Source organism: Homo sapiens, chromosome 19 (assembly GCF_000001405.40).
Source record: "Homo sapiens chromosome 19, GRCh38.p14 Primary Assembly".
NCBI classification, from domain to species: domain Eukaryota; kingdom Metazoa; phylum Chordata; class Mammalia; order Primates; family Hominidae; genus Homo; species Homo sapiens.
The window spans coordinates 1,065,959-1,084,994 of NC_000019.10; the positions used below are offsets into that span (position 1 = coordinate 1,065,959).

The 19,036-nt window shown below is 61.8% G+C and overlaps 1 protein-coding gene across 11 annotated transcripts in view, besides 16 other annotated features; it reads left to right on the forward strand.

Annotated features, from left to right (window-relative positions):
• Window positions 1–19,036, forward strand: part of ARHGAP45 (Rho GTPase activating protein 45) — a 20,670-nt gene continuing 1,634 nt past the window's right edge. Inside the window, exons 1-23 of one of the 11 annotated variants that reach the window (XM_047438547.1) lie at window positions 1–205; window positions 619–1,716; window positions 2,456–2,786; window positions 7,191–7,334; window positions 7,548–7,632; window positions 7,716–7,788; window positions 7,990–8,056; window positions 8,146–8,283; window positions 8,385–8,449; window positions 8,656–8,766; window positions 8,841–8,921; window positions 11,899–12,087; window positions 13,745–13,882; window positions 13,970–14,160; window positions 14,297–14,421; window positions 14,506–14,589; window positions 14,724–14,828; window positions 14,934–15,106; window positions 15,592–15,780; window positions 15,866–16,003; window positions 16,882–17,108; window positions 17,185–17,395; window positions 18,280–18,388. In XM_047438547.1, the coding sequence (XP_047294503.1) occupies window positions 1,615–1,716; window positions 2,456–2,786; window positions 7,191–7,334; window positions 7,548–7,632; window positions 7,716–7,788; window positions 7,990–8,056; window positions 8,146–8,283; window positions 8,385–8,449; window positions 8,656–8,766; window positions 8,841–8,921; window positions 11,899–12,087; window positions 13,745–13,882; window positions 13,970–14,160; window positions 14,297–14,421; window positions 14,506–14,589; window positions 14,724–14,828; window positions 14,934–15,106; window positions 15,592–15,780; window positions 15,866–16,003; window positions 16,882–17,108; window positions 17,185–17,395; window positions 18,280–18,388 (3,076 nt within the window). In that variant the 5' untranslated portion in view covers window positions 1–205; window positions 619–1,614. Of the gene's footprint in view, window positions 206–618; window positions 1,717–2,455; window positions 2,787–5,251; window positions 5,401–7,190; window positions 7,335–7,547; window positions 7,633–7,715; window positions 7,789–7,989; window positions 8,057–8,145; window positions 8,284–8,384; window positions 8,450–8,655; window positions 8,767–8,840; window positions 8,922–8,984; window positions 9,201–11,437; window positions 12,088–13,744; window positions 13,883–13,969; window positions 14,161–14,296; window positions 14,590–14,723; window positions 14,829–14,933; window positions 15,107–15,591; window positions 15,781–15,865; window positions 16,004–16,881; window positions 17,109–17,184; window positions 17,396–18,279; window positions 18,389–19,036 lie in introns of those variants that run through there. The other 10 variants (XM_047438548.1, XM_047438546.1, NM_001258328.4 and 7 more) reach the window with 10 other exon arrangements.
• Window positions 652–1,158: an enhancer, noted in NCBI's record as "H3K27ac-H3K4me1 hESC enhancer chr19:1066609-1067115 (GRCh37/hg19 assembly coordinates)". NCBI's record gives its function as "activates a minimal SCP1, AML or CMV promoter by ChIP-STARR-seq in naive H9 embryonic stem cells {active_cell/tissue: H9 hESC(naive)}" and the evidence as "EXISTENCE:reporter gene assay evidence [ECO:0000049][PMID:30033119]".
• Window positions 652–1,778: a biological region, named in NCBI's record as "H3K27ac-H3K4me1 hESC enhancer GRCh37_chr19:1066609-1067115".
• Window positions 1,019–1,778: a silencer, noted in NCBI's record as "silent region_9657". NCBI's record gives its function as "represses an Ori minimal core promoter by ATAC-STARR-seq in GM12878 lymphoblastoid cells {active_cell/tissue: GM12878}" and the evidence as "EXISTENCE:reporter gene assay evidence [ECO:0000049][PMID:35858748]".
• Window positions 2,089–2,328: a silencer, noted in NCBI's record as "silent region_9658". NCBI's record gives its function as "represses an Ori minimal core promoter by ATAC-STARR-seq in GM12878 lymphoblastoid cells {active_cell/tissue: GM12878}" and the evidence as "EXISTENCE:reporter gene assay evidence [ECO:0000049][PMID:35858748]".
• Window positions 2,859–2,958: a silencer, noted in NCBI's record as "silent region_9659". NCBI's record gives its function as "represses an Ori minimal core promoter by ATAC-STARR-seq in GM12878 lymphoblastoid cells {active_cell/tissue: GM12878}" and the evidence as "EXISTENCE:reporter gene assay evidence [ECO:0000049][PMID:35858748]".
• Window positions 3,349–3,508: an enhancer, noted in NCBI's record as "active region_13580". NCBI's record gives its function as "activates an Ori minimal core promoter by ATAC-STARR-seq in GM12878 lymphoblastoid cells {active_cell/tissue: GM12878}" and the evidence as "EXISTENCE:reporter gene assay evidence [ECO:0000049][PMID:35858748]".
• Window positions 8,491–8,600: a silencer, noted in NCBI's record as "silent region_9660". NCBI's record gives its function as "represses an Ori minimal core promoter by ATAC-STARR-seq in GM12878 lymphoblastoid cells {active_cell/tissue: GM12878}" and the evidence as "EXISTENCE:reporter gene assay evidence [ECO:0000049][PMID:35858748]".
• Window positions 8,611–9,140: a silencer, noted in NCBI's record as "silent region_9661". NCBI's record gives its function as "represses an Ori minimal core promoter by ATAC-STARR-seq in GM12878 lymphoblastoid cells {active_cell/tissue: GM12878}" and the evidence as "EXISTENCE:reporter gene assay evidence [ECO:0000049][PMID:35858748]".
• Window positions 9,512–9,806: an enhancer, noted in NCBI's record as "tiled region #10458; K562 Activating DNase unmatched - State 1:Tss". NCBI's record gives its function as "activates a minimal TATA promoter and a strong SV40 promoter by Sharpr-MPRA in K562 cells {active_cell/tissue: K562}" and the evidence as "EXISTENCE:reporter gene assay evidence [ECO:0000049][PMID:27701403]".
• Window positions 11,178–11,317: an enhancer, noted in NCBI's record as "active region_13581". NCBI's record gives its function as "activates an Ori minimal core promoter by ATAC-STARR-seq in GM12878 lymphoblastoid cells {active_cell/tissue: GM12878}" and the evidence as "EXISTENCE:reporter gene assay evidence [ECO:0000049][PMID:35858748]".
• Window positions 11,488–11,577: a silencer, noted in NCBI's record as "silent region_9662". NCBI's record gives its function as "represses an Ori minimal core promoter by ATAC-STARR-seq in GM12878 lymphoblastoid cells {active_cell/tissue: GM12878}" and the evidence as "EXISTENCE:reporter gene assay evidence [ECO:0000049][PMID:35858748]".
• Window positions 15,433–16,308: an enhancer, noted in NCBI's record as "H3K27ac-H3K4me1 hESC enhancer chr19:1081390-1082265 (GRCh37/hg19 assembly coordinates)". NCBI's record gives its function as "activates a minimal SCP1, AML or CMV promoter by ChIP-STARR-seq in naive H9 embryonic stem cells {active_cell/tissue: H9 hESC(naive)}" and the evidence as "EXISTENCE:reporter gene assay evidence [ECO:0000049][PMID:30033119]".
• Window positions 15,433–16,598: a biological region, named in NCBI's record as "H3K27ac-H3K4me1 hESC enhancer GRCh37_chr19:1081390-1082265".
• Window positions 16,109–16,598: a silencer, noted in NCBI's record as "silent region_9663". NCBI's record gives its function as "represses an Ori minimal core promoter by ATAC-STARR-seq in GM12878 lymphoblastoid cells {active_cell/tissue: GM12878}" and the evidence as "EXISTENCE:reporter gene assay evidence [ECO:0000049][PMID:35858748]".
• Window positions 16,773–16,942: an enhancer, noted in NCBI's record as "experimental_50734 CRE fragment used in MPRA reporter constructs". NCBI's record gives its function as "activates a minimal promoter by MPRAs in K562 erythroleukemia cells, with activity observed for both the introgressed and non-introgressed 19:1082815 or rs76508986 variant alleles {active_cell/tissue: K562}" and the evidence as "EXISTENCE:reporter gene assay evidence [ECO:0000049][PMID:34662402]".
• Window position 16,858: a transcriptional cis regulatory region, noted in NCBI's record as "Neanderthal adaptively introgressed variant 19:1082815 (GRCh37/hg19 assembly coordinates) or rs76508986 in the experimental_50734 CRE". NCBI's record gives its function as "modulates activity of the experimental_50734 enhancer by MPRAs in K562 erythroleukemia cells {active_cell/tissue: K562}" and the evidence as "EXISTENCE:reporter gene assay evidence [ECO:0000049][PMID:34662402]".

A 19,036-nucleotide genomic window follows, 5' to 3' on the forward strand; every position in this document is an offset into this window, starting at 1 on the left:
AGGGCCGGGCCAGAAGCCCATCCGACATCCAGCTGACCCTCACCCTCTGACCCCAGCCCTCAGCGCCATGAGTCGGGGGCAAAGAGTTCTCAAGGGTCTGCTGGGCTGGGTTTGCACTTGGACCTGGGCCTGGAGAGCCAGACTTGGAGCAAGGGGCTGTGGCCTTCATGTCCTGTGCCCCAGAGATCTGCCCCTCCCACCCGAGGTAGGTGGGAATGGGGTTTGGGAAAGGAAAGAGGTTGGGGTTTTGGGATTGGGGGTGGGGTTCTGGAAGGGGACAGCAGGGAGACTTGGGGAGGGGGGAGAGAGTTCACACTGCGGGGTGGGGGTTGGGGGAAGGTAGGAGGCTGGGATCTGTATGCCTGCAGATGCCCCAGCTCTTGGCCAATGCCGCCTCAGGCTGTTATCAGCAACGGGTGCCTGCGTCCTGCTGCCCAGCACGTCCGGTGGTCCAGAGTCACTGGAATGCAGCTTGGGAGGCGGGGCTGGGGACCTTAGCTAAGGGCAGGTCTGGGGCAACATGATATGGCCCACAGGGCTGCTGAGAGGTAACCAGGTGTCCTCAGCATATTCTGCCGATGGTGGGGTCCACACCACACTTTGGGGACCCCTGTGCAGGCAGCCCAGGACCAGGTGGACGTGGGGACCCAGACGGACGTGGGGACCCAGACGGACAGGGCCCGGTAACCTGGATTGTTCTGACTTCCTGGACGTCTTTGCCCCCAGGGTTTCGGTTCTGGGCCTCAGTTTCCCCACCTGTCCTCGACCTGACCCACTTCACGGGGCTGCAGGGCGGGTGATGGGGGGGACCCTACTCTGCCCGGCCCTGCTGGGGCCCGGCCACACCCTAGGGTCTGCAGGAGAGGCGGTGGAGCGGGCTTGCCTTCAGGGAAAAGGGGGCTGCAGGGGCGCAGCTTCGGCCTGTGCGTGTGTCTGGGGTCTGAGGGCGAGGCTCCAGGGGCTTGGTGGCGTCTGAGCGCGTGTGGAGGTCCGGGTCTCTGCGTGTCATCGTGCACGTGTCTGTGCACGCCCACTCGCGTCCGGGAGTGAGAGTCAGCGCCCTGCAGTCGGCCGCCCCGTGCCCGCCAGCGTCAGGCAGGGGCTCCCGGTCCCACCCCGCGAGCGGCGCGGCTCCGAGCTCCCGAAGGCGGAAGCGGGGGGCGCGGCCCGGGGCTGGGGGCGGGGCCTGCGACCTCACCTTCGCGCCCACTCCGCAGAGCCGCAGGCTGAGGCCGGGAAGGGTCGGGGGCGAGGCCGCGTCGCCGCCTCCCCGAAGCCTTTTCCTGTTGGGGGGAGGGCCCGCCAGTGACGGCCGGGCCTGTCACGTGGGCCTGACAGCTGGGGAGGGGGTGGCCGGCGACAATGTGGTCCCGAAGCGGCCAGCGCCGGGAGCTGCAGCGCTGAGACCCCCAGCCCGCCCCCTCGGGCTCCCGGCCGGGGCCCCATCATGTTCTCCAGGAAGAAACGAGAGCTCATGAAAACCCCTTCCATCTCGAAAAAGAACCGCGCGGGAAGCCCCAGCCCGCAGCCCTCGGGGGTGAGTGGAGCCCGGGTGAGACCCGGAGCTGACGCCGGGCCGCAGGGGGACAGGGACCCGCCCTGTGCTCGGGGCTCATGCTGGGGCGGCGGCTGGGGGCTCGTGCCAGCTACAGCCCCTACCGGGCGGGACGGCAGGGGCCACAGCAGAGAGGCCGGGACCCCGGCATTCAGCTCACGGTAGGGACCCTGGGAGTGGTGGCCGCCTCCCTCCACTCCATCCAGGGCTGGCCGCGGGGCCCAGGGAGCAGGAAGGGAGGGTGCCGGGTTGGGACGATGTTGTGTTTGGGCCGCTGCAGGTTGGGGGCTTAGGCAATCTGGGGGCTCTAGGGGCCGTTGAGATGGGAGGGCTGTGGCCTGGCCATTGGGCTGAAGGTTGACCGGGCAGCAGATCCTCTAATGGGATCCACCAGGTTCAGAGGTTGGGGAGTGTCCCCAGGCCTGGGGTGTCTACAAAGCTGGGGGGGGGGTCTACAGAGCTTGGGGGTCCGGGATGTCTACAAGGCCTGGGGCTGCCCATAGGCTCTGGGGTTCCATGGACCTTTAGGGGACAGACAGAGTCAGAAGTGTGTTCACTTAAAGCACCTGCGTTGTAGGAGCCTGAGGGGGGCTTGAAGGGCTGAGGACCCTCCCCACCCCCACCAGGAAGTGGGGACCCCCCTCCCGCGCCTCCCCGCAGGCCCCGCCCCGGCTGTGGTTTGGGCAAGGACCGTTGTTTGTGAAAGCTCTAGGGAAGAGGATGTTGGGTAACAGGTGGGGGGGTACACTACCAAATCTCGGCCCTGTGACCTCTGGCCTTTGACCCCTGTGGGGTCAGGGTGATGGTGGCCCTCCACAGCCCCACTTCATTTCTGGGGAAACTGAGGCCGTGTCCAGGCCGGAAAATCCCTTTAACGAGCTCCCCTCGGACCTGCCCAAGGAGCTGCCCAGGAAGGATGGGGCTGACGCGGTGTTCCCCGGACCAAGCCTGGAGCCGCCCGCTGGGTCCTCCGGCGTCAAGGCCACAGGGACCCTCAAGCGGCCCACCAGCCTGAGCCGCCACGCCAGCGCGGCTGGCTTCCCCCTGTCGGGTGCTGCCTCCTGGACACTGGGCCGGAGCCACCGGAGCCCACTGACAGCCGCCAGCCCGGGCGAGCTGCCCACCGAGGGTGCCGGCCCGGACGTCGTCGAGGACATCTCCCATCTGCTGGCGGACGTGGCCCGCTTCGCTGAGGGCCTTGAGAAACTTAAGGAGTGTGTGTTGCGTGACGGTGAGAGCCACGGGGACACCGAGGCCTGGGTGGAAGACAGAGCCAGACCCAAGGGAGGATGGAGGGAGGGACTTGGGGAGGCTCAGAAGGGAGGGAGGCTCAGATGGCAGGGAGGGCTGTGTGGAAGAGGCCATGACAGCTAAGGCTCTGAGGGATGTGTAGGAGTTTGGTGGGGGAGTCCCTGAGCGTACACTGGCTCAAGAGGGTGCCCACTTTATTTTTTTTAAAGGATCTGATGGCAATTAGGAGGGAAAGGCAGAGGAAATGTCCCATGCACAGGCTCAGAAACACGGAAACAGAGAATGCATTTGGGGGCCAAGGTGTGGGGTGCCGCTGGTGTAGGATGAAGGCATGACAACGCCAGGCAGAAGGGCAATGGGGAGCCATAGAAGGTGTTAGAGCACAGGACAGATGGGGGCAGATCTGTGTCTTGGAATGAAGCAAACTGGGGGTTGGCTGAGGTCTGGGTGGAGAGAGATTCAGGAGGCATGGCGAGGGGCAGGATGGGGTCATCAGGCGGCGGAGGTGCTGGGACCCAGCGGCCTGCAGGCCGGCAGTTCCGTTTTCTCCTCCACGCGGCCGCTGACAGCCCTGCTTCCTGCCGAGTTATTTTCATCTGCTTCCTGTTTGTCCCTGGCAGCCCAGGCGGGCACCTCATGTGCTGCCTTCAGCCCCCGGCTCCTCCCAGAAACCACAGTGCCAGGGTCATGCCAGGCGCTCTGATCTGCTCCCAGCAGCCGCCCATTTTACAGATGACGAAACTAAGTCTCTAGTGAGGCCCTGACCCCTGGCTCACCCAGCCAGGGCAGGGCAGAGCCAGGACTGGACCTCAAGTGGTGGAGTGGCCTCTGCACCTTCAGGGCACTAGTTGGGGAAGGCCCGGTCCCCACTGGGAGGAGTGGGAGCCCCCGGGTTATCTGGTCCCAGGGGCGGGGGCTAGGCTGCTTTCCTGGGGAAACCCTAATCTCGGTTCCTTTCCGATCCTGGCGCTTCCTTGGAGGCCTGGCCTGGGCGGGGCTCAGCTCCCAGGCTCCTGCAGGAGGTCTGAACTGGGCCAGCCAGGGTGGGGCACTTTTTTTTTTTTTTTTTTGATACAGGGTCTTGCTCTGTTGCCCAGGCTGGAGTCCAGTGGTGTGATTGAGGCTCACTGTTACCTTGAACTCCTGGGCTCAAGCCATCCTCCTACCTCTGCCTCCCGAGTACCTGAGACTACAGGCATGAGCCACTGCACCTGATTTATTTTATTTTATTTATTTTATTTGAGATGGTGAGATGGAGTCTCACTCTGTCGCCCAGGCTGGAGTGCAGTGGCGCGATCTCGGCTCATTGCAACCTTCCTCTCTCGGGTTCAAGTGATTCTTCTGCCTCAGGCTCCCGAGTAGCTAGGACTACAGGTGCGTGCCACCACACCTGGCTAATTTTTGTATTTTTAGTAGAGATGGGGTTTCACCATATTGGCCAGGTTGGTCTCAAACCCCTAACCTCGTGATCCGCATGCCTCAGCCTCCCAAAGTGCTGGGATTACAGCAGGCATGAGCCACCGTGCCCGGGCTTTTCTTTTTTTCTTTCTTTTTCTTTTCTTTTCTTTTTTTTTTTTTTTTTTTGAGACAGAGTCTCACTCTGTCACCCAGGCTGGAGTGCAGGGGCGAGATCTCAGCTCACTGCAACCTCCACCTCCTGGGTTCAAGTGGTTCTTCTGCCTCAGCCTCCCGAGTGGCTGGGATTGCAGGGGCGCGCCACCGTGCCCGGCTAATTTTTTTTCTTTCTTTTTTTTTTTTTTTTAGTAGAGATGGGGTTTCACCATTTTGGCCAGGCTGGTCTTGAACTCCTGATCTCAAGTGATCCACCCACCTCGGCCTCCCAAAGCGCCAGGATTACAGGCGTGAGCCATCGCGCCCGGCCAGTTTTTGTATTTTTTGTAGAGACCGGGGTCTCCCCATATTGCGCAGGCTGGTCTAGAACTCCCGAGCTAAAAACCGTTCTCCCGGCTCCGCCTCCCAAAGTGCTGGGATAACAGGCCTGATCCACCGCGCCCGGCTGGGGGCGCCTTCTGTGCGTCTCGGGGCCGCCCCAGGCCAGAGAAGACCCTGGCGGCTAGGATGTGGGCTCTAGTCCCGATGTTTCTCAGCTGCTGAGACCCTGGCAAGCCCCTTCCCTCTCTAGGTGTCAGGTGACTTATCTATAAAATGGGGCCACCTGCATGCAGCGATGGTTGTGGGGTCCACCCCACAGCTTGGGGACCCGCGTTCAGGCAGCTAGGAGGGGACCCACATGGACGGTGCCACCCCGACACTTCCCGGGCTTCCTCGTTCCCGGGCTTCAGGTCTGGGCCTCAGTTTCCCTGCCCGTCCTCGACCCTCCCCACCTCGAAGCTCTGCGGTTAAGGAAGGACCCAGGCTGGGGCGAACGGGACCCCAGGGCGGGGTTTCCCTCGCGGGGGCGGGGCCTCCTGACCGGCCGGAGCCGGTTTGGCCACCGGAGACCCCCATCGGTCAGCTGCCAGGCCCCACGCGCTCGCGGTCTCCGCGCCCCGACGGCTGCGCCATGTGTATCTGCGGGACGGCGCACCCGGTGCTGGACGAGGGCCCCGTGCGCTGCCGGGCGGGCCCCCGAGGTGAGGGGACAGGTGCCGGGCGCTGGGTCCCGCCGCGTCCGGGAGCACGTGGCGCTCGGGCCGTTTGCCGCCCGCGGTGGGGGAGCAGCGGCTGCCGCGCGCCTGGCCTGGCCGTGCGCACCTGGGCATCCCTGCGCTGCGCAGGGGTCGCGCCGGCCGCCGGCTTCCCGGGTAGGGGGTGTGCGGGGACAGCCGGGGGTCCGTGCGCCGGCCGCGCGCGGAGTGCCGGGTGCCCGGCTGGAAGGTCCCGAGAAGGGGCGTGGCCGGGGCCTCCCAGCGGCTTCCCGGAGCTCCTGGAGCCCCAATCCCATTCCCGGAGTCCGCCTCGCATCCAGCAGCGAAGACATGTTCCGGTCCGGGGTCTCAGGCCCGGCGGCGGCCAGCGGGGTATCTCTGGCGGGTGACTCGGTCGGTCTCTTCCCGGAGGTGACATTCACCTGGGGTCTTCGGTGCCGAAAGGGATGGGGCACTTACTTTTTCAGATTTCATTTCGTATTTGGGGCATCCTCTGAGCGGTACAGTCAGGCGTCAAAGCTGCCCCTCCCGCTGGCCTCTGTCCTCCCGGGTACCTTTCCCCTCCTACGAATTCCGTGGGTTTGTTTCCACTACGTGGTGTGTGCCTGGCTCTCGATGTTTCGCCTGTACTCTCTGCTTTTTTCTTTTCTTTCCTTCTTTTCTTTTCTTTCCTTTTCTTTCTTTCTTTTCTTTCCTTTCTTTTTGGGATGGAGGAGTCTCACTCTGTCACCCAGCTGGAGTGCAGTGGCGCGATCTCGGCTCACTGCAACCTCCGCCTCCCAGCTTCAAGCGATTCTCCTGCCTCAGCCTCCCGAGTAGCCGGCATTACAGAGGAGTGCCACCACGCTGCTACTTTTTGTATTTTTAGTAGAGGCAGGGTTTCGCCATGTTGGCCAGGATGGTCTCAAACTCCTGACCTCAAGTGATCTGCCTGCCTCGGCCTCACCAAGTGCTGGGATTACAGGCATGAGGCACTGTGCTTGGCCCTCTCTGCTTTTTTCTTCTTCCAATTGAGAACGTTCGATGAGGGCATTTAGCTTTTTATTCTTTATTTTATTTCTTACAGAGACAGGGTCTTACTGTATTGCCCAGGCTGGTCTTGAATTCCTGGGCTCAACCCGTCCTCCTGCCTCAGCCTCCCAAAGTGCTGGGGTCACAGGTGTAAGCCACCACCCCTGGCTGAGGAGGGCAGTGAAAGCCAGGTTCCAACAGTCAGATCTGACCTCCTCTGTTCTAACACCTTCTATGGCTCCCTATTGCCCTGGAGATAAAGCCAGGCAGGATCCCTCTGCCTGGCGTTCTCACGCCTTCAGAGCTAGCGTAGATGGAAAAGCTGTGTGATTGTTGAGAAATGGCTTCCCCTCTCTATGCCTCAGTTTCCTCACTTAGGAAGGGCAGAGAGAGACCTGGACAGGGCTTTGAGCAGTCCTGAGGAGTTAGGGCAGGGAAGGAGCCTGGTGGGCTGCATGGAGGAAGGGGCTGCAGGACTGTAGCTTGAAGGACAAGAGGCAGTTTGCTTTCTGGAGGGACAAGAAAAGAGTGTTCTGAGCAGCAGAGTGCCTAGGCCAACGTCTGGCCTTTGTTGATCTGGCCGGTAGCCCAGGGAGGGACAGTGCCCTCCCCGCGGTCTCGAAATGAGCCCCAGGCATCTGCCGTCTTCCACCTCTGCCTCAGTTTCCCCATCTGGGAACAGGAGCTCTAAAGAGGGAGGAGGTGGACAGACTTTCCCTGGGACTGGGCCCTACCCCACTGCTCACTCCGACTCTCCCCAGCAGACCTCCTTGAGGCCCGCCGCCCGCGGGCCCACGAGTGCCTGGGTGAGGCTCTGCGTGTCATGCATCAGATCATCTCCAAGTACCCGCTGCTGAACACCGTGGAGACGCTCACCGCAGCCGGCACCCTCATTGCCAAGGTCAAAGGTCAGCCTGCTGGAACAGGGCTGCGAGGGCTCTCTGCCTAGAAGGGCATCCTGGAGGAGGGGATGTTTGAAGTGGGTTTTGAAGGATGCATAGGAGTTTGACAGGCACAAGCTCCCTCCTGTTCCCCCTGGGTTAAGGGCTCCGGTCAGTTCTTGCAGGGATGGTCACCTCCCAGAGTGGGCCCACCTCCTTGTCCTTATCTCTGCTTCCCAGCCTTCCATTATGAGAGCAACAATGATCTGGAGAAACAGGAGTTCGAGAAGGCCCTGGAGACGATTGCTGTGGCCTTCAGTAGCACGTGAGCACGGGAGCCTGTGGGGCAGGGCAAGGGAGCGTGGGGGGCCCGGGTGTCTCTCGATGGTGACCTCGCTGGCCCTGCAGAGTGTCCGAGTTCCTCATGGGTGAAGTGGACAGCAGCACCCTCCTAGCAGTGCCTCCTGGGGACTCGAGCCAGGTGAGTGGGGTGGGCCAGGGCCACCTGTGTCCAGCTTCTGGAGGCCAGCCGGGTTCAGGTCTGCAGGGCCCAGACAGTCACCCTGCTTCCCCTGTGCGCCTTGGTTTCCCTCTCTGGGGGAGGCAGCAACCGTCCCCTGAAGGGTGGGCACTGCCCAGGGCCCCGCATGGGGCTGGTCTCACCTGCGTCTCCGTCCTACAGTCCATGGAAAGCCTGTATGGACCGGGCAGTGAGGGCACGCCTCCCAGCCTGGAAGACTGTGACGCCGGTAAGCCCCCACCCAGCGGCAGGCAGGCATTTGAGGGGTGGGCCATTGCGCGGGTCGGGCCAGGCTGAGCAGGCCCCCGTTCCCTGCAGGCTGCCTGCCCGCCGAGGAGGTGGACGTGCTGCTACAGCGCTGTGAGGGGGGCGTGGATGCCGCACTGCTGTATGCCAAGAACATGGCCAAGTACATGAAGGACCTCATCAGCTACCTGGAGAAGCGGACGACGCTGGGTGAGAGCTGGTGTCCCAGCAGGGTGGGTCTGGAGGGAGGGGGTTCTGGGTGAGCTGGGAAGGCCTTGTCCCAGCACCTCACACCCCTCTCCGGCCCGCAGAGATGGAGTTTGCCAAGGGCCTGCAGAAGATCGCTCACAACTGCAGACAGAGCGTCATGCAGGAGGTGGGGGCCCCGCGGGCACGGGGCGGGGGTCCCTGGGCCCGGGTGTGAGTCTCAGCCCCATTTCAAGGGCCCAGGGACCAAGAGCAGGGGCTTCCCCTCTACATTAACGGGGGTGGCTGCAGGGACCAGGGAGCTGGTGGCTGGGGGTGCTGGGGCCGCCCTGCCTCCATCCCTCCCCACCCAGTGAGCCGGTGCCCCACCCACAGCCCCACATGCCGCTCCTGTCCATCTACTCGCTGGCCCTGGAGCAGGACCTGGAGTTCGGCCACAGCATGGTGCAGGCGGTGGGCACCTTGCAGACCCAGACCTTCATGCAGGTGCGTGGTGCCCGGGAGGGCGGGCTGGGCGGGGGTGTCACCGGGGTACCCACTCACGGCCCGTCTCGCCCCAGCCCCTGACCCTGCGGCGGCTTGAACACGAGAAGCGCAGGAAGGAGATCAAGGAGGCCTGGCACCGTGCCCAGAGGAAGCTGGTGAGGCGGGCGGGCGGGGGCGGGCGGGGGCGGGCAGCGGGCCTCGGCGCAGGCGCAGTCCCAGCCCCAGCCCCATAGCGAGGGCCCTGCGGCGAGCTCCGCACACGCCCCGGCCTCCTGCGCATGCGCGGCCTCGCAGGCTGGGCCGCCCCCCCCAACGCCAAGCCGGGTCGGAGATGCTCCAGCCCCGTCGCCCCCAGCTCTGCCTGGAAGGACCCAGGAGCCCGGCGCTCACTGCTGTCCCTGCAGAAATGGGGAGAAGCCGTGCCTCCCTCGGTTGTAAGCAGCTGGTCTCCGGGTTGAGGGAGACTGATGGTCTCTCAGGACTGGGAAAGCGCCATGCTCCTGCATGTATTCTTTTTTTTTTTTTTTTTGATACGGAGTCTCGCTCTGTCGCCCAGGCTGCAGGCTGGAGTGCCATGGCACCATCTAGGCTTTCACTGCAACCTCCATCTCCCTGGTTCAAACAATTCTCCTGTCGCAGCGTCCCGAGTAGCTGGGATTACAGAAGCACGCCACCACACCTGGCTAATTTTTGTATTTTTAGTAGAGACGGGGTTTCACCATAGTGGTCAGGCTGGTCTCGAACTCCTGACCTCAGGTGATCCACCCGCGTCGGCCTCCCAAAGTGCTGAGATTACAGACGTGAGCCACCGCACCCACCCGGCCTCCTGCCTGTATTCTCTTCCCACTTCGCTTTTGGGTTATTTCAAAGACGCCGGCGCCTTTTTGTTTGTTTCTTTGCTTGTTTTGAGATAAGGTCTCGCTCTGTCACCCAGGCTGGACTGCAGTGACGCAATCATACCTCACTGCAGACTTGCCTTCTTGGGCTGCAATGATCCTCCCACCTCAGCCTCCTGAGTTCCTGGGTCTACAGGCACCAGCCATCACACCCAGTTCATTTTTTTGTATTTTTTGTATACTCACTATGTTGCCCAGTTTTTGTTTGCTTTTTAGCTGTGTTAACACGGTCTGCAGTGAAACGCACCCTCCTAGCTCCTTCCAGCACATACCGGCAAACACATATCTGCCCTGTTTTGTACACACGAGGACAGCTCACCTCATGCCCTGTTCTGCTCCTGATTTTTATCCTCACCTCCATATAGAGAGGCTCACCCGATATCAGTCAGCATGAAGCAGCCTGAACCCCTTTTTTCGGCTGTGCAGGGCTCAGCTGAGGAGATTGAGTAGGTTATTTCATGGACGTCTTGGGAGTGGCTGAGCTGTTGCTGTTACGAACACCATTGCTATGACAAGCTTGTGCCCCTGTCTCAAGGATGCCTGAGGGATCAGTGCCCAAAATAGAACTGCTGGGTCAAGGGGCGTGCGTGTATGAGCTACCCTCCCAGGCCACAGCCCTGCTTTTCCTCTTCTGTGAACCCTCAGTTCTTAACCTTTGCTTAGTTCTTATCCTTTGCTTACTTTGTACTGGACAGTGGCTTATCATTGATTTGTCAGAGCTTTTTACATATTAGAGAACTTAGGCCTTAATCATGTGAGTTTTAGACTCCCCCCATTCCCCTCCCACAATTTACTGTTTGACTTTTGATTTTTACCTGTGGCCTATTTTGCCAGGTAGAAACCTGTGATTGTTGGCAGTAGTCTTTTTTTTTTTTTTTTTTTTTTTTTTTTTTGAGACAAGAGCCTCACTCTGTTGCCCAGGCTGCAGTGCAGTGGATCGATCTCAGCTCACTGCAACCTCCATCTCCTGGGCTCAAGCGATTCTTCTGCCTCAGCCTCCCAAGTAGCTGGGATTACAGGCGCCAGCCAACATGCCTGGCTAATTTTTGTATTTTTAGTAGAGATGGGGTTTCACCACCTTGGCCAGGCTGGTCTCGAACTCCTGACCTCAGGTAATCTGCCCACCTTGTCCTTCCAAAGTGCTGGAATTATAGGCATAAGACACCGTGCTTGGCTAATTTTTATATCTTTGGTAGAGATGGGGTTTCATCATGTTGGCCAGGCTGGTCTCGAGTAGCTAGGACCACAGGTGTGCGCCACCACGTCTGGCTAAATTTTTTAATTTTTTTGTAGAGATGGGGTCTCACTATGTTGACCAGGCTGGTCTCAAACTCCTGGCCTCAAGTGATCCTCCTGCCTCGGCCTCCCAAAGCACTGGGAGTACAGGTGTGACCCATGGCGCCTGGCGGTCTCCTAGTAATTGGATGAGTCCGTTTGTTTGTGTGCGAATCTGATGGTGCAGGTTGTGAGGTGTGGCCCCCGAGCCCACAGGTTTTTGACTAAGTGCTCTTCCTGCCAACCTGTGGGCGCCTGGCTTCCTGCCTGGGCGGCTTCTCTGTTCTCGTCTGTGAGGAGGGAAGTGAAAGCAAAAGAGCCCGGAGACGCTCCCGTGGGGGCTGGTGTGCGTGTCTGCAGAGGCTGCCGTGTGAGCCTCTGTGCAGAGCTTGGCTGCACCTCAGCTTCCCGGGCTGCAGAGTGGGCACACAGGACACCCATTTCTCCGAGTGTCCTGTTACGGGTGCCTCCTCCCGTTCTTTTTTTTTTTTTTTTTTTTGAGCTGGAATCTCTGTTGCCCAGGCTGGAGTGCAGTGGTGCATGCAATCTTGGCTCACTGCAACCTTCGCCTCCTGGGTTCAAGCTGTTCGCGATTCTAGTGCCTCAGCCTCCCGAGTAGCTGGGATTACAAGCGTGCACCACAATGCCCGGCTAATTGTTTTAAATTTTGGGTAGATACGGGGTTTCACTATGTTGGCCAGGCTGGTCTCAAACTCCTGACCTCAAGTGATCCACCTGCCTCGGCCTCCCAAAGTGCTGGGATTACAGACGTGAGCCACCGCGCCCGGCCACTCCTCCTGTTTTTCCGCTGCCGATTGTTGTGCAGGGTCCTCTGCATGCCCAGCTGGGCCATGGGGCCTTGCTGAGAGAGATGGGGGTGGGGAGGAAAGGAGGAGCTGGGGAGACTGAGTCCCATCCGAGGATAGGGTTGGAACTGGCCTCCTGGCTCCCACACCCACAGCAAGAGGCGGAGTCCAACCTGCGCAAGGCCAAGCAGGGTTACGTGCAGCGCTGCGAGGACCACGACAAGGCTCGCTTCCTCGTGGCCAAGGCGGAGGAGGAGCAGGCTGGCAGCGCGCCGGGAGCAGGCAGCACGGCCACCAAGACCCTGGACAAGCGGCGGCGGCTGGAGGAGGAGGCCAAGAACAAGGTGAGGGCGGGTGGAGGCAGGGCTGGAGGTCCCTGGAGGAGGAGATCCAATGCTTGGTGTGACATTTACTACCTCCAGACCTTTGTTTTTGTTTTTTTGTTTTTTTGTTTGTTTTTGAGACGGAGTCTTGCTCTGTCGCCCAGGCTGGAGTGCAGTGGCACAGTCTCGGCTCACTGCAAGCTCCGCCTCCCGGGTTCACGCCATTCTCCTGCCTCAGCCTCCCGAGTAGCTGGGACTACAGGCGCCCGCCACCACGCCTGGCTAATTTTTTGTATTTTTAGTAGAGACGGGGTTTCACTGTGTTAGCCAGGATGGTCTCGATCTCCTGACCTCGTGATCCGTCCACCTCGGCCTCCCAAAGTGCTGGGATTATAGGCATGAGCCACTGCGCCCGGCCAATTTGTTTTTTGGAGACAGAGTCTCATTCTGTTGCCCAGGCTGGAGTGCAGTGGTGAGATCTCACTGCAACCTCCGCCTCCCAGGTTCACACAGTTCTCTGCCTCAGCCACCCTGCCACCAAGCCCAGCTAATTTTTTTGTATTTTTAGTAGACACAGAGTTTCACCATCTTGGCCAGGTTGGTCTCAAACTCCTGACCTCATGATCCACCCACTTCGGCCTCCCAAAGTGCTGGGATTACAGGCATGAGCCACCGCGCCCGGCCCCGATTTTTAAATTATTATTATTTTTGAGACAGTGTCTTGTTCTGTCACCCAGGCTGGAGTGCAGTGACGTGATCATGGCTCACTGCAGCCTCTACCTCCTGGGCTCAAGCAATCTTCTCGCCTCAGCCTCTAGAGTAGCTGGGACCACAGGCGTGTGCCGCCACACCCAGCTAATTTAAAAAAATTCTTGGCCGGGCGCAGTGGCTCACGCCTGTAATCCCAGCACTTTGGGAGGCCGAGGCAGGTGGATCACAAGGTCAGGAGATCAAGACCATCCTGGCTAACAGGGTGAAACCCCGTCTCTACTAAAAATACAAAAAATTAGCTGGGCGTAGTGGTGGGCGCCTGTAGTCCCAGCTACTCGGGAGGCTGAGGCAGGAAAATGGCATGAACCCGGGAGGTGGAGCTTGCAGTGAGCCGAGATCGCGCCACTGCACTCCAGCCTGGGCGACAGAACGAGACTCTGTCTCAAAAAAAAAAAAAAATTCTTTATAAAGATGGGGGTCTCAGGCTGAGTGTGGTGGCTCACACCTGTAATCCCAGCCCTTTGGGAGGCTGAGACGGGCAGATCATATGAGGCCAGGAGTTCGAAACCAGCCTGGGCAACATGGTGAAACCCCTGTATCTCTACTAAAATTACAAAAAATTAACCGGGTATGGTGGGTGGGGGGCACCTGTAATCCGTTACTTGGGAGGCTGAGGCAGAATTGCTTGAACCCGGTAGGTGGAGGTTGCAGTGAGCTGAGATCGTACCACTGCACTCCAGCCTGGCCTACAGAGCAAGACTCCATCTCAAAAAAAAAAAAAAAAAGATGGGGAGGGTCTCACCATGTTGCTCAGGCTGGTCTCGAACTCCTGGCCTCAAGCAAGTCTCCCACTGTGGCCTCCCGAGGCGCTGGGATGACAGGCGTCAGCCCCGCCTCCCTGAGGTTTCTGTCTGAGTCCTGCACCCCGGGCTGAGGCCTCTCTCTGTGCGCCCCGCCCCCACCGCAGGCGGAGGAAGCTATGGCCACCTACCGCACCTGCGTGGCCGACGCGAAGACGCAGAAGCAGGAGCTGGAGGATACCAAGGTGACGGCGCTGCGGCAGATCCAGGAGGTCATCCGGCAGAGCGACCAAACCATCAAGTCGGTGCGTGGGGTGCTCCGGCCGCCCGGGCGGGGATGGTGGACCGGGCGGCCTCCTCCTGACCCCTCCGCTCTCCGGTGCCGCCCGCAGGCCACGATCTCCTACTACCAGATGATGCATATGCAGACGGCGCCGCTGCCCGTGCACTTCCAGATGCTGTGTGAGAGCAGCAAGCTGTATGACCCAGGCCAGCAGTACGCCTCCCACGTGCGCCAGCTGCAGCGGGACCAGGAGCCCGATGTGCACTACGACTTTGAGCCCCACGTCTCCGCCAACGCCTGGTACCGCCACCCAGCTGCCCTGTCCCCGGCGCACAAGGCCCTGCCTGGGAGCCGGGCTTCCCTCTGTCGGGGGCATGAAGATGAAGCTGTCTTGCCCCCCATCACCTCCCCTCCTTTTCCCGGTTTCTTCCACTAGGTCCCCCGTCATGCGTGCCCGGAAGAGCAGCTTCAACGTGAGTGATGTGGCGCGGCCGGAGGCTGCCGGGAGCCCCCCAGAAGAAGGCGGGTGCACTGAGGGCACACCTGCCAAGGACCACAGGGGTGAGTGTCCGGCGGGGCCCAGGGGCGGACGCTGGCTCCCTGCGACCCACCCTGGCCCTTCACCAGAGACGCCTCTTTCTCCAGCCGGGCGAGGACACCAGGTTCACAAGTCATGGCCGCTCTCGATCTCAGACTCGGACAGTGGGCTGGACCCCGGCCCTGGCGCAGGTGAGGGAGGCTCTCTGGCGGGCTGGGGTGTGGAGCTGCCTCCTCTCCTGAGCCTCAGGGTTTCATCACCCACCGGGGTGATGGAGGGGGCCCCCCTGGCTGGGGGAGTCTGAACAGTCCTGATTCCCGCCCAGGGGACTTTAAGAAGTTCGAGCGGACGTCATCCAGTGGTACCATGTCGTCCACGGAGGAGCTGGTGGACCCAGACGGTGGAGCCGGGGCTTCAGCCTTTGAGCAGGGTGAGGGTCCCCTGACGGGGCTGGAGAGAGAGGGGGGTTTGGACACAGTCCATGGGCCTGGCCCTGAGCTGCCTTGGTGACACCGGCTGCCTGTGCTGCCCGCAGCTGACCTCAACGGCATGACCCCCGAGCTGCCGGTGGCCGTGCCCAGTGGACCGTTCCGCCACGAGGGGCTGTCCAAGGCGGCCCGTACTCACCGGCTCCGGAAGCTCCGCACGCCCGCCAAGTGCCGCGAGTGCAACAGCTACGTCTACTTCCAGGGTGCTGAGTGTGAAGAGGTGAGTGGGACGCCCCGACGGACAGCTGGGAGCCTTCGGGAGCCTTTGGGGTGCCCAGCACCGCCGGCCTGTGTGCCCTCAGGAATGTCCGGCCCAGAGCAGGGAGCAGTCGGACGCCTTTGGAAGGAAGCGAACGGAGGGGGTGGGGTGGGCTCTTTTAGTTCTGGGGAGCAGGGTTGGCTCTCTGAGGCAGCGAGGCAGGGGGCAGACCTGGAGGGTGAAGAGTCCTGGGGCTGTGGCCAGAAGACCTGGAGGGCAAAGGCCCTGGAGCTGTGTCCAGAAAACCAAGGGGCGGGAAGGAGAGGAGGCCACAGGGCAGGCGGGATCACCCCTGGGGTGGAAGCCACGAGCCACTGTCCAGCTTGTGTTTGCAGAAGCTGCCGTGTGGGGGCTGTGAGCGCCCCGGGGAGGTGGGGTGGAGCCGCTGGGGGCTGCGCTGAGCTGGGCGCCCCGGGGCTGGGCTCACTCACTCTGGCCGCCCCCAGTGCTGCCTGGCCTGCCACAAGAAATGTCTGGAGACGCTGGCCATACAGTGCGGGCACAAGAAGCTGCAAGGCCGCCTGCAGCTGTTCGGCCAGGACTTCAGCCACGCGGCCCGCAGCGCCCCCGACGGCGTGCCCTTCATCGTCAAGAAGTGCGTCTGCGAGATCGAGCGGCGGGCGCTGCGCACCAAGGTGAGGCGGGGGAGGAAGCGGCTCACAGCGAGGAGGCGGGAGTGGGCCGAGGCTGATGGGCCTCCCCACCCCCGGGCTCCCGCAGGGCATCTACCGGGTCAATGGGGTAAAGACACGCGTGGAGAAGCTGTGCCAGGCCTTCGAGAACGGCAAGGAGCTGGTCGAGCTGTCGCAGGCCTCGCCCCACGACATCAGCAACGTCCTCAAGCTCTACCTGCGTCAGGTGAGACCCACCGGTGGTGGCCAGGCAGAGCCTGGAAGGGGCGTAGCCAGGCAGGAGGAGGCGGGGTGGGGGTCCGGGAGCTGGAGCAGGACTGAGCTGGAGCAGGACTGGCGCAAGCGGGGGCCTGGGGAGGACAGGGTGGGCGGGACAGTGCCTGGCAGGGCAGGGCTGAGGCTGGGGGCGTGGTCACGGTAGGAGCGAGGCGGGGCCAGTTCTGCGCCGAGGCACGGACAGGGACAGGAGGGGCGGGGTGGGGCTTGGTCAGCACGTGGCAGGGGTGTGGCCACGGCAGAGGCACACCTGACGCTGTGCGGGGGCGGGGCCGGGGCCGGGGCTCGGTGGGGCGTGGCCAGAGCAAGATGGGCGTGTTCAGCGCTTGGCAGGGACCCGTATGAGGCTAGGGGCGGGGCTGAGGCTAGACAAGTGCGGGGCTGGCGGTGGGGCCTGGGCTTGGTGGGGCGAGGCTGGGGCCAGGGGCGTGGTCATCCCCGGGGAAGGGCGGGACTGGGGCTAGGGGCGTGGTCATGTCTGGGGAAGGGCGGAGCTGGGCTGGGATGGGAGTGGGACCAGCACTTCGCAGGTGGTTGGGAAGGGGTCAGACTATGCTGAGTGGAGCCGGAGCTCGTTAGGGTACCTGCAGGGCGGGGCGCGCGTGGCCAGAGCGAGAAAGGGAGTGGAGCTGCGGGCGTGGCCCGGGTAGGAGGGGCAGGGCTCACGCTGGGCTGGGAAAGGGGACTGACGCCGCTCTGGGTGGAACCCGAGCTCGGTGGGGTGTGGCCAGTGCTCTGTGGGGGTGGGGCTGAGGCTGGGGGCGTGGCAGGCACACGTGGGGGCTGGGCCAGGCCCACCAACACCTGCTGACCCTTGACTCTGCGCAGCTTCCCGAGCCGCTCATCTCCTTCCGCCTCTACCACGAGCTCGTAGGGCTGGCCAAGGACAGCCTGAAGGCAGAGGCCGAGGCCAAGGCGGCGTCCCGGGGCCGGCAGGACGGCTCGGAGAGCGAGGCAGTGGCGGTGGCCCTGGCAGGTCGGCTGCGGGAGCTCCTGCGGGACCTGCCGCCTGAGAACCGGGCCTCGCTGCAGTACCTGCTGCGTCACCTACGCAGGTGAGTCCCGGCATATGGAGTGGAGGGCGCGGGGTCCCGGGAGCCGCTCAGCACCTGGCCCCTGCCCACCCCGCAGGATCGTGGAGGTGGAGCAGGACAACAAGATGACCCCCGGGAACCTGGGCATCGTGTTCGGGCCCACGCTGCTTCGGCCACGGCCCACCGAGGCCACCGTGTCCCTCTCCTCCCTGGTGGATTATCCCCATCAGGCCCGCGTCATCGAGACTCTCATCGTCCACTACGGCCTGGTCTTCGAGGAGGAGCCGGAGGAGACCCCCGGGGGCCAGGTGAGGGTGTGGGCCTGACCGGGGCTGGCCACTCGGGGCTTGGGGAGCAGGGGGCGCTGCTGGGGACAGTCGTTGTCGGATGAAGCCCAAGGAACCACAGGGAGATAATTTGGTTTGGACAGGGCTGTTCGGGAGGCCACTGTCTTTTTGTGTCTTTTATGCAAAAAACTCAGCGAGGTCTGCATTGAATCTGGCAGAGGTGCAAAGGCTCTGCGGCCGCCCCTCCACTCTCCCTTGGGGCTGGCCTTGGGCCTCACCCTTCACCCCCAGCTTCCTTCCCCGTTTCCCATCCCGGTGCTGCCTGCAGCCACAAGCTCCACGCTGGCCCGGTGTCCACAGCCTGCCCGAGCTGCCACTGCACTCCGCCGCGAGGTCAATTCCCCGCTTCAGATTTTCTTTTCTGGGAGTTGTAGTTTCGCTCCTGCTGCCCAGGCTGAAGTGCAATGGGGCGATCTCAGCCCACCACAACCTCCGCTTCCCAGGTTCAAGCGATTCTCCTGCCTCAGTCTCCCGCGTAGCTGGGACTACAGGCGCCGGCCACCACACCCGGCTAATTTTTGTATTTTTAACAGAGATGGGGTTTCACTTTGTTGGCCAGGCTGGTCTCGAACTGCTGACCTCAAGTGATCCGCACCCCCCTTGGCCTCCTGAAGTGCTGGGATTACAGGTGTGAGCCACTGCACGCGGCGTCTCGTATTCTTTCAATCCATCTTCCCTGGGTGTTTAGGGGCTGCGGTTTCTCGGGTTTGCTCTTGGCTGAGGACAGACCGCCTGGGCAACAGCGGGTGTCAGTAGCTGTTACGGGCTGTGTGGGTGGGTTTGTTAATTTATAACATGGAAAATGGAGCCCCGGCCCCTCTATGACTTCCGTTCTGCACTTGCAGGACGAGTCATCCAACCAGCGAGCTGAGGTAGTCGTCCAGGTGCCGTACCTGGAGGCGGGCGAGGCGGTGGTCTACCCGCTGCAGGAGGCGGCGGCGGACGGGTGCAGAGGTGAGTGTGTGGCTGCCCGAACGGCCCCAAGGGAGGCTGGCGTGTGCCACCCATGGGCGCAGGTGCCATGACCTAGTTGTACACACGTGGCAGGGTCCACGGTGCTGCACATTCTGTGGATTTCGTCTGCCACGGAGACCACACCTATGAGCTACTCATTCAGTGTCCTTTAACCGGCTGCAAAAACAGGCAAGGCAGTGCCTTTTGAGGTGCCTACCCCGCACTCAGAAACCAGTAACGTGAACGTGGGGCTGATGCCTTGTGAGGCTCCAGGTGCACCAGGTCAGGCTAAGTGCCTTTCCTGCAGGAGCCCGTTTTTCTAGAGAAGGGCGTGGGGCTGGGAGTTTGACCCACGTGGGGCCAGCACCACCTGTCAGAGGCAGCTGGCCGAGTGCCGCATCTAGTTATGGGACACCTGTGTTGTCTGTCTTCACACTGCTGATAAATAAATACCTGAGGCTGGGCACGGTGGCTCACGCCTGTAATCCTCGCACTTTGGGAGGACAAGGCAGATCACTTGAGGTTAGGAGTTCAAGACCAGCCTGACCAACATGGTGAAATCCCATCTCTACTAAAAATACAAAAATTAGACAGGTGTGGTGGAGGGCACCTGTAATCCCAGCTACTCAGGAGGCTGAAGCAGGAGAA